The following is an 11,504-nucleotide window of genomic DNA, read 5'->3' on the forward strand; positions in this document are numbered from 1 at the left end:
TATCATATATTTTACTTATACATATAAAACTCAAAATACATTACTTTTCATTTACAAAGTAAACTGTTTTAAAGAGATTTGAGTACTAAGAACAATTCCATATATTTATCTATGTATTTACCTTATCCTTTGTTCTCTATTCCTTTGTTTAGACTTATATTTCCTTCTGGTTTTATTTTCTCTCTGCTTAAATTACTTTCTTCATCTTTTCTTGTAGTGCAAGTGTGATGCTAATGAATGTTTCTTCTTTTGCATGTCTGAAAAATTATTTATTTCACCTTCTTAAAGAAATAATACCTTTATTGAGATATAGTTCATATCCTATAAAATTTATCTCTTTAAAGTATGCAATTAAGTGCTTTTTAATATATTCATTGAATGGTACAACAAACGACCACTGTTTAACTTCAGACTGTTTTGAACATATGTAATATAGTTATAATAACTGTTCTAATGTCCCTAGCTGCTAATTTTAACATCTGTGTCATTTATGGGTAAGTTTTATGTGATTGATATTCTCCTTATTATGTTATATTTTCCTACTTATTTTATATTCCTGGAAATATTTTATTGAATGCTGGACACTGAATTTTATCTTGCGTTATGTGAATATTTTGGTATTCTTATAGATATTCTTGAGATTTGTTCTGGCATAGCTAAAGAGTTGGAAACAGTTTGATGTATCTGTGTCTTGATTTTAGGAATTCCTACCGAAGATCAGAGTAGCCTTAGGTTTAGGGCTAATTATTTTCAAATATTGAAGCAAATACCTTCTTATTATGCAATCCAATGATCCATAAAATTTGAGGTTCTCCAGCCTGGATCCTGGAAACAGATTCATTCCCTTTTGCATGTCAGCTTTGGGCATTGTCCTTAATAGTTTTTCTTTTTTCTAGTTTTTAGTAGGTTCCTCAAAGAATGACTATTTTGCTGAATGCTACAATAGGATTCTGTACAAATTTCTGGGCTTCTTTCTTAGCGCAGCTCTCAGAATTCTGGTAATCTCACCCCTAGCTGCCTTGATATTCTCTGACTCGCAGCTTTTTCTTTTCAATTTAGGGTGTCTGCTGAATTCTACCTAGATTTTTGCCCTCATTATAGTATCCCACAAACTCCCTTTTATTAGTAAACTCAGGAAATCCTAAAATATACCTCGTTTGTTTTCTATCTCTCAGGGGTCACTCTCATTCGTATATCCAGGGTCATGTTTGATGTTCAGTCACTTGAAAACTATTGTTACCCATATTTTGTCTCAGTTTAGTTGTTGTTGCTTCAGGCAGGAGAATAAACTCATCCTCATTAATCCAGTTTATTTGGAAGCAGAAATCCTTCAATGCCAGTATGCAAGTTCTTAACCGAAGGAAAGTGAATCCCAATTCTTAAAAATCTATTATTTACTGATTTATTAAGTGGAGCTTGGTATCTCTTCTCTCCTATCAAAATATGCATGGGAACATTATGGCAGGTGAGAATTTTTCTTCTGGTATCTATTTTGTTTTCCTTTAACTTTCTACTCTTTTCATTTTAAAATCCTAGTGCTCTGCTCTCTGTGGATGTATAAAATTCTGCTGGTAGGTAGGGAATGAAAAGGGACACGTGGTTTAATCACATGCACTGCCAGAATTCGAGTGATAATGTTTCTCTTCCATAGCTATTTGCATCATAACACACACGTATTTTGTAATAAAAGATTTAGTCTCCCATTAAATAAATTTCTGGCATGAATTAATAGATGGCAGAAAATTACAAGGGAGAATTTTGGTCAGATTTTCTCAGAAGTTCTCAACCCATCATTGAGAGGGAGTGGTTTCGGCCTCCCTTGCCGACATACCCACCCTTCCTCCTGCTCCAGGGAAGGCAAATTGAGCTGTGTCTGTGAGGAACCACCTGAGCCAGAACACAGAAAATTCGCGTGTGTCTGACCCTGCAATTCCAATTATAAAAATCTACCGTAGGAAAATAATTTTAAAATAAGGCTAGTATTCACATATGTAAGTGCCTATTGAAAAAATCCCTTATATTAACAAAAAAGAGAAAACGACTTAATTGCCTCAAAATGAGGTCAAACTCATGCAGACATACCCATCCACTTCACTGAATGGATTCAATGTTGTGGCGACATTAACACTGATGTTGTAGGAAAATATATGGAAACATAGAAAATTACTAATGATATGGGGTTAGATGAAGAAATAATGGTTAAAAACTCTCCCCTGACACTAATATTTAAGAATTCATAATACAAAATTTGAAGAAGATCCACTAAAACTTTTAGCTGTTATAATCTTTAGGTGATATCATTACAGGTGGATTTTATACTTAATGTTCATATTTTGTACTTTAAGATTTCTTTCTGTAATGGATATACATTGCATTTATAATCAGTAAAACATCAATAAATGAGTATATAAATAAATAAATATTTAAAACGGAGGGAAAACACTGAGTCAAGGTAGCTCTGGAGCTTCCTCTGACAAGTTACTGTTACTAATATTTACTCTTTTTGGTTCCACTCCCCGTAATAGAGAAGGGGTATGTGTATTATCATCTTTGCAGCGACCCATCCCAGCTACACACTCATTACATACTCCTCTTAGGAAACGTAGACAATGCCTAGCCTGCCAGTCTGTCTGATGAAGCATGGCCTTTTGCAGGTGTGTAACTGCCTTTTACTAGTTTTCTGAAAACTGTCTCAAAGCAGCAAGAAAATAACCTGTAACTACGAGTGAAGTATAAAGATCTGTACTTAAAAGCATGCCTGACTAGGCTCTGTGCTTAGGGGACCCAATTAAGAACATGTAAACAGTCTTCCTACAGTCGTATCCAGTGCTCCCGTACACCCACTGGGCTGTGCAATGCAGTCACTGCAAGTGGGAAGGTGGAGGTCACCGTGCTTGCCGATCGACTCACCATCATGGCCTACATTTTAGTCCATTGAAAATGCACAGTTTTATAAATCATCTGTTTTGATGGAGCAGCAAAAGCAAACTTTCATCACGTTTTGGGTAATTTGTATTTTAAATATTAAAACGTATTCTACCTTGTGATATTCTTCCTGACTGTCATGCAAATTCAGCCCCTGTCTTCATAAATAGATTTTGGGAAACATCTCAATGCCAGTCACAGCACAGGTGAAATGTTAAATTTCACTGTGACTGAGCAAGGGGTTGTGGAGCTCGGCGCCCTTATCCTCATCCCCTCTGTGTTTCCTAAGCTGTAGAAGCAAGACAGAATAATTCTCCTTTTTGACACAGTTTGCTCAGGGGCTCACATTTCTGCGGCTGTCAAGCGTGAACAAATTAAAGTTTCTTTATTTTTCTATCAGGCATAAGTGGCCTTGGGATATGCTTGGCTGCCTCATTTTCTCTTAGCTTCAAATTCTCATCATCGGTCTTGCCTACTTTTGCATTCCTTGTCCACAACAAAGCCTTCACACAAGACTTTTGCTTTTGATGGGGCGGTACTGAGGGTGGAGGGAAGTCAGGCATCTGTGACGGATTTCTTACCACAGGTAATACATACCAAACTGGTAGAGATACTGAGTAATTATTCCCTTTTCCTTGGAGTAATACCTCTGGGCCTTTGCCCCAGCTATCTCTCACCCTTATCTCCTGTGTGCTTATTCATTCTGTACGCTTCTAAAAAATGCACACCCAGACACACAGGCTACAAGACACACAGGCTAGAAGAGCACCTCCCTGGAAATAAAACATTTAAAAGGCTTGCCCCCACCATCTACAGTTAAATCTTTAATCATCTTCCTGCCTACCTGTGCCTACATGTTTTTCACATCTTATTTTTAAACGTTCTGTCAACTATGACATGTTTTAGGATCATTCAGTAGGATGATTATGGGGATCAGATGATATTGTAGATATAGGAGTGCTTTGAAAATTAACAAACAGCCTATATGGGAATGAGTTTGTTTCACATCTAATACATTAGTCCCTTATCAGAACGCAATGCGGAATTCTCATTTCATGCTCTTCCACAGAGTCAGAAAGTGGCAGAGTGTGAAAGGCAGTGAGAATTCCTCTGCAAATCCCATTACTCATTCCAGACCCTGTTCTAAGAGCCTCCCAGTGTTTCTTCCATGATCTCATTTTACAGAGGTGGATGGGTAGATGACTAGAGTTGTTTGTCCAGTGGGAGCAACTTGCCAGCCTCTTTGTGCCCTTCCTCTTGCTAACACCCTTAGCCCAAAGCTTTTTTGACCTGAGCTTGCTGCAAAACGTATTCTGGATTTCCATACTTTGAAGAGGCAGGATGATGTCAAGTGGCACGGAGGGTGGTGGGGGGCCCTTAAGTCACAGAGTCTTTTTCAAGCTGCTGTTGCCCTTGGGTGACCAGTTGAACTCTAGGAGGACAATCTGTGTATTAATGGGGACTTAGTTTTAAAATTTATGTTATGATTATATTGCTTGTAAATGGACCAAAGTAATGCTTTGTGGATTATGTGTTCAGATATACACACACAGGCTTTCTTTATGAATGTAAGTGCTTTAACTTTGAATATCTTCATAAGGAGCCAGGAATTCTAAAGTATACCACATGTTTTATATACATGTGGTATAAATACCTTTTCAAATATCTGGGTCTATTTAATGTGCCTTTAAAAATATTTTCAACTCTCTCTTTTATTTCATATAAAGAAAAAAAAATCCAGCTTGATTTTCTCTTCCTATTTCTGTTTTTCCAAGGTTTAATTGATGCATGCTTAGTGGAGAAGCAATTGATATAAATATTAGCAAACAATGAACATGTACTAAAAAAGTCTACTGTGTTGAGATCAACCCACCTCCCTTAACGATTAATAGATATTAACTTATCCTGTGCTTTCTTGAGGAAAGTGGTATCTTGTACGAAAAAATGTCAAGAACAAGGCCCTAAGAAAAGGAAATATAGCATATGATATGGGCTAATGACAGTTGCTGCCCCTGAATATCTGTATCCTCCAGCCTATTCCAAGATCACTGATCACACTGGAATCATCTGTTTACTTTCTTTTTGCTAGACTGGACTCTGAGCTCCTTAATGGCTGGGGCATGCATTTGTCCCCACAGCCCCAATCCACAGCACCGTGCCTGGCTCAGAGTATGTCTCATGAATGAGTTAATGATAACAATCATGGCCCAGAGATTCTGCCTGATTCTCATACATCTAAAAGAAAATGAATCAATTTTGGTAAGTTTCATGTTGATTAAGGTAGATGGAGACATCACCATATTGGGGTAGAATTTCCAGGACCAATGGAGATCTGATGTCTCTGGAGTATTTTCTGATTAGCACCACAGTCTTCCGCCATTTTCTACTCTCATTACTAAGGGCTTTCCCACCTTCCAGGGGATCTTGTGGCTCATTACGGCAATGGGCCTCAATGAGGAATGAAACATGTTTTGTGTGTATAGTGAGAAAATTCTTTTGCAGTAAAAGAAAGTGCTTAAATACTCAAATTCTGGACTTGAAATGCCTGGATGGAAACCTTTGCTCTGCCAATTACCAGCTTGTTATATAGGTTTCATTTAACCCTCTATGGGAATGGCAATGGTAATTCTATAGATTAAAAGAGATAATGCCTTCTGAAGTGCCTGACACACATGGACATGGCAATTTTCATGTCTGCCTAAAGCATCATTCCAACACAGTAGCTAATCCTCAACTGATTCTTGGTGACTGGACTGCCACCATTGCAAAGTCTCCATTTTCCAGAGGGTAGCAACGTCACAGATGCTTCAATGAGCTTGTTGTTTTTGAACACCTGGTCATATTTTAAATTTATTTCTTAGGATGGATCTCAAAAGCAAACTTACTGACTCAGGACCATTTCAAAAACTGCTTTCCAAAAAGCCTTCTCCAAGCAGAGACCTCTTGCTTTCTACATTCCTACTGTACCTAATAGTTTCCCTTTCTCTGGACTTGAGAGTATTCTACAAGGAAATGTGAAAAAATAATGTAAAATCTAGGCATAGAATCCATTACAAAATATCAGAGACTGTGAAAGAGACTGTGAATAGCAGCAGAGGTTCAGCCCAGCAAGTGGACACAGGTTAAAATGAGAAGTTGTAGGCTTGTCCCTGCCCGAGTTAGCAGCCCCACGCAACTTGAGTGTGAAACGAGAGGAACGTCACAGCTGCTCTCCTTATCTAAAGCAAGAATGTTCTCAAATCCACAACAATGTCTGATTCTAGGTATTGTCTTTTCCTTCTATCTTGACTTTATGCTTGGACAAATTCTTTAGAAGACAGTTGAGCATTTCTGGCTCAGAGTCAGATAAAACTCCCCATGTCTCTGTTTCCATCAATAAACACGGCAAAAATAACATAAAGAACTATTGGCCTTGTTTGTTGTTTGTACAAATTTATTTTCATCTTTCTGTGTTTGCAGCTACAAGAGTATTAAACATTTTTACAAAGGAAAAGCTAAAACTGTATTTTTGGTCTCACTAGAGTATCTGTGTTGCAATGCTTCATGTATTTGCCTGCCGAAAAAATGCACCATAGTTCCTCATGAGAAGAGTGAAGATTTATATCTTGTATTTGTTCTATGCACATCAACTCTAGTTCATGGATTCAATAAGCTACAACAGTAAGAAACTTTAGAAATTATGAACTGGAAGCAACAGATAATTTCTGCATTCAATCAAAAGACAGGCCAACCAAAGGCATCTGGAGTTCTCTGAAGCCCATAAAAGCTTCCCTAGAGTGTGCTGAGCTGATAGGACAATTTTTTTCCAAACCCAGTGAGGCAGAGTCCTTGAGCTCCCAAAGGCTTATGCTTAAGGAAGCCCAAAAATCCATGCATAAGGCACTATGCAGCTGATCTATAAATTAACATCCCTTGGATCTAAGCTCCCATCAGTCAAGTTTAATCATATGGTGCCTGGAAGCCTAAGAAGGAGACATTCAGGATGAAGTTAGCAGAAAATCTTCAGTTCATAATCAGAAGGCGCCATCAGCTTATTTTGTTTTTGTGTCAGTGATTTGATAATCAGGCCTTTTGTTCCAAATAGTGCTCTCACGGAGAAATGAGCAATCAATCATTTGGTTCAGACTCTCAGCTGACACTTATTTGTACCCTGAATATGCAGTTTCCATGAATAGCCCTATGTCCAGACAAAGAGACTAGCTGACTGGGGTTTCTGCCTCCCTTAGTAATCATGGATTGGTGCTGTCAGTGCCTGATGGATGAAGGGGACGGATCAGAATGGACTGGAGGGGATTGGATCTGCCTTGCAAATCATGAGGGAATCCCAGGGAAAGAAAACACTCCTCGGACTGATAGTGAGGGTGAGTAAGTGGTGCAAGTTTCTCATATTGCACTGAGGTTTTTGATGCTTGATTCATGCATTCACTAAGCAGAACAGTTCTGAACTTAATAAACAATTTTTCATTATGTATATCCTATTGAAACTTTACAAATTTTTTGAGTCCAGTTTGGTTGAATAAATATTTATTGAGCATCTGGTATATGCAGCCTGTTTTGTAGGGATCCAGGAAAATTTTAGTGATAATGACAGAGTACAAACTCATTCTCTGGTAGGCCCCAGCCCAGCCAGAGGGATATTAGTGTTCACATAGCCAGAACACAAGGCAGAAGGTGTTAAGTTATCATAAAACGTTCCAAGGACTTGGAGAAAAGAGGGATCAGGTGGGATGAGAAGGGCTTTATGAAGGAGCTGGAATTTGAGAGGGGGCTTGAAGTATCAAGCAGACGGTTGGCTGTGGCTTGCAGCAGGTCGGCAGATGCTGGGGCTGCAGAGGACAAAACTCCTGGTTGGAGTTTGTCCATGGCATGTCCAAAAATAAGTGGGAGATCAGAGTAGAAGGTATGTGGGCAGACATGCTGGATAACACTGTGTTGAGATGTTTGTGATGAATTCCACTGGCAGTGAACCTCTATTAGACATCTTCATCTGGGAAATTACACGCTTGGAGGTACTAAAGCCCCATAAACTTTGTAGATATGTGTTTTTCATAATGTCTGAGAGAAGGAGGGACATTTCTTGTCTCTGTTTCATCAGTATGAGGGTCCACTGTTCTGCTTCCAGCTCAGAGGACACAATCTCAGATCATGTGACCTACCCCACATTCCTCAAAGAAGACAGGAAATGAGACTGAAAAAGATTTGCATGACTTCCCTTATTTGGCTTGGCAGTCAGATTTATTTATTTATTTATGTATTTATGTATTTATTTATCTTTGAAACAGAGCCTCTCTCTGTTGCCCAGGCCAGAGTGCAGTGATGCAATCTCAGCTCACTGCAACCTCCAGTTCTTGGGTTCAAGCAATCTCCTGCCTCAGCTTCCCAAGGATCTGGAATTACAGGTGCGTGTCACCATGCCTGGCTAAATTTTTTTGTATTTCTAGTGGAGACGGGGTTTCACCATATTGGCCAGGCTGGTCTCAAACTCCTGGCCTTAAGTGATCTGCCTGCCTCAGCCGCCCAAAGTGCTGGGATTACAGGCGTGAGCCACCACCCGTGCCCGGCCTGCAGTCAGCTTTGTACCCTCTTGCCATGCCTTGCTCTTGTTAACATCCTTGTGCCCATTTCCAGGCAGCATTTATTTCTACTCTCCTCCACCTTCATGGGCTCAAGGGCAGCCCTGAGTATGATCCAGTACACCGGAGCTTGGCATTAAACTTCCTGCTGACCTCTCTTGTTGCTCTCCTGGCTTCAGTCTAGTTTCTCCAGATCCACATATGTGTCTCTGTCATTTAACCAGCAGTTTCAAACCTTAGTGCCATGGAGAGTCACCTGGGATAACTGGCTATAATGCATATTCCCAGAGACTCTCACTAAGTGGGAGAAGGCTCAAAAACCTGCTTCTTAAATGAAGACTCCCCAGTGATGCCGATGTGCATGGTTCCTTGGCCACCCTTGAGGGAGTAACCTTCTAACCTCATCACTTAGTCAACCAAGCCTTACACAGACTTCATATTGCCACATCCTGGACTGCCCTCCCTCCATCAAATACACAGCTATAATTCCCCATTCTCTGTGAATTATGTTCTCTTCACTTCTCTTGCTACTCTTATCAGCCACTCATCCCCTTTTCAGATGAAGGCTGCGCCTCAGTCTGTAACATTTATTACACCCTCTCATAAATGTTTTCAGGAACACTTTGGTATTTTACTGCCCTATCAGATTGTATAACAGTCAAAGGTAGAACCACATTCTCTGTAGTCTTTGCTCTCCACTGTGCCTGCACACTGTGAGGGGCTCAACAAAGTCTCTTCTGAGATGGCTATTCATCGAAGACACATGTAGGACACCAAGGAAAAGCAAACACTGAAAAACACATTGCTCCTATATAAAGAGACCATCTTACTACTATGAACAAGATGGTAACTGGTAAACACAGATAAAACTCTAAGTGATGCATTTCCTGGATTACATGGGGATGAACACTACATTGCACATCTCTGTACCCTGCATTGTGTAATAGTCTGTACCTTACACTGCACAGTAATCTACTCCCTTGAGTGCACAGTCATCCACACCCTGCACTGTACAGTGATCCACTCTCTGCACTTCACAGTGATTCCCACTATATGTTGCACAGTGGTATTCATCCTATGGCACAGAGATCTGCTCCCTATGGTGCACAGTGATACACTCTCTACAGTACACAGTGATACAATCTGCACAGTGATACCCGCTATACTGCACAGTGGTGTACATCCTATGGCACTGTGATCTGCTCCCTACACGACACAGTGACTGACACCTTATACGGTGCAGTGATCAACACTGTAATCCACATAGCGATCTACTCTCTATACTGCATTCTGATGACATCTTCTGCTGCACAGTCATCTACTCCCTCCACTGCTGTGTTCTCTTTATATTGTGTGGTTATGTAGTTCTCACACCAACACAGTGATCTATACCTTACAATACATCAGTACACTGCACAGTGATCTTCTTACACTGTATAGCAATCTACACCTTGTGGTGGGTGCATTCCCTAGTCCTTTAGTTAAAGCTCCTTAATAAGAAGGCTCAATAGGTCTTTGTGAATACTGACCCCACTTAAGGTAAAAGACACATTTTGTTGGTTCCACTAATGTTGTCAGGGCACTCTGTTTAAAGACTTACTAGAGAGAATGATCTTTTCAAATAATGACCCCTACTTTTCAATCCTCACTTGACCTTTCATTTGTGAATTTCTCAAAGAAAATAAGTGATCATATCAATCTTACTCTAAATCTAGTAATTTAAAATCTTAATCACTAGCAGAATATATATCAACTTAACTCACCAACATCAAGAAATGTAGGATTCTTAATCTTGTTCTGAATTAAAATTATGTCTTTGACATAGTTACCAGATAGAGCCCTAGCAGACATCTGAGCTGGGAAGAAAGATGAGTTGGAGGCAGACTCACTGTTTATGAGCTGGATGTCCTTGCCAATGTGCTACAGTTCTCTAAAGCCTCAGTTTCCTCTTCTGCTCCCACAGACTCTCAGCCAACCATGGTTAGTAAAGTCTTCCAGGTGATGCTAACTTGTACTTTGGTTAAGAGTCACTATCTAAACTTGTTCTACCTGAGGGTCTGTTGTGCAGTGATCTGCAAAACAAGAGGACCTTGGACGTTGCCTGCACTTGTTCTCTCTTCCTGCATGTAAAAACTATCTCGGAAGCCCTTACCAGAAGAGGCTTAGAGAAGTTTGTTTACCACCCACTGGAAAAATTAAGAGGAGGTAAATCTTTACTTTAACTCCCAGGAAAAACCAAAGAGCTCCCTTACGTGACTTGTTATGCCTTGTCATTTCTGCTGTGGTTGTGAAATTTCAAAAACATGAAACAGTGTCTCAACTTAATTCAAATTTTGGGAATCATTGACTTCAACCCTAGTGTCACTAGGTTTGTCTGCTTAAATATAAACTCTCATTCTTTACTCACCATTGCCTCAGAAGGGATTTATAATTTCTTATTTTCAGAATTAAACATTTATATGTGTGGATCCATAATTATAACCAATGATGTTTGCATTTTTATAGAAAATGTGAGAAAAAACTCAGTCTCAAATTGTATGGATGTGTCCCCTGAATTTCAGTCACATGTAGAGTTAGAAGAATGTACTTTCCCAGTGTGTATATATATATAAATAATTTTTATTTCTTGTTTCTGTATATTCTTCTTTCCCTTTTGTACCAATTAGACATACAAATGATCCTAGATTATGTGTGGAAATTGGCTGGAAAAAATGAAATTATATTTCAACTGAAGATTTTCCTTTCTCAGAAACGGATGAGGAAATGGAGAAATGCAGTTAATATTTTAACAAAAAGCCATTTCTGGGCTGGGTGCGGTAGCTCACGCCTGTAATCCCAGCACTTTGGGATGCCAAGGCGGGTGGATCACTTGAGGTCAGGAGTTCAAGACCGGTCTGACCAACATGGTGAAACCCTATCTCTACTAACAATACTAAAAATTAGCCAGGTGTGGTGGTGCATGCCTGTAATCCCAGCTACTTGGGAGGCTGAGGCAAGAGAATTGCT

At 39.5% G+C, this 11,504-nt stretch overlaps 1 long non-coding RNA gene across 1 annotated transcript in view; it reads right to left on the reverse strand.

Annotated features, from left to right (window-relative positions):
• The window catches only part of LINC01789 (long intergenic non-protein coding RNA 1789), a 110,883-nt gene extending 100,402 nt beyond the window's left edge, over nt 1-10,481 (reverse strand). Inside the window, exon 1 of the long non-coding RNA NR_183814.1 lies at nt 10,388-10,481. This is a non-coding gene — a long non-coding RNA (long intergenic non-protein coding RNA 1789). The remainder of the gene's footprint in view (nt 1-10,387) is intronic.
• Between the last annotated feature and the right edge of the window lie 1,023 nt (nt 10,482-11,504).

This window comes from Homo sapiens, chromosome 2 (assembly GCF_000001405.40).
Source record: "Homo sapiens chromosome 2, GRCh38.p14 Primary Assembly".
Lineage (NCBI taxonomy): Eukaryota > Metazoa > Chordata > Mammalia > Primates > Hominidae > Homo > Homo sapiens.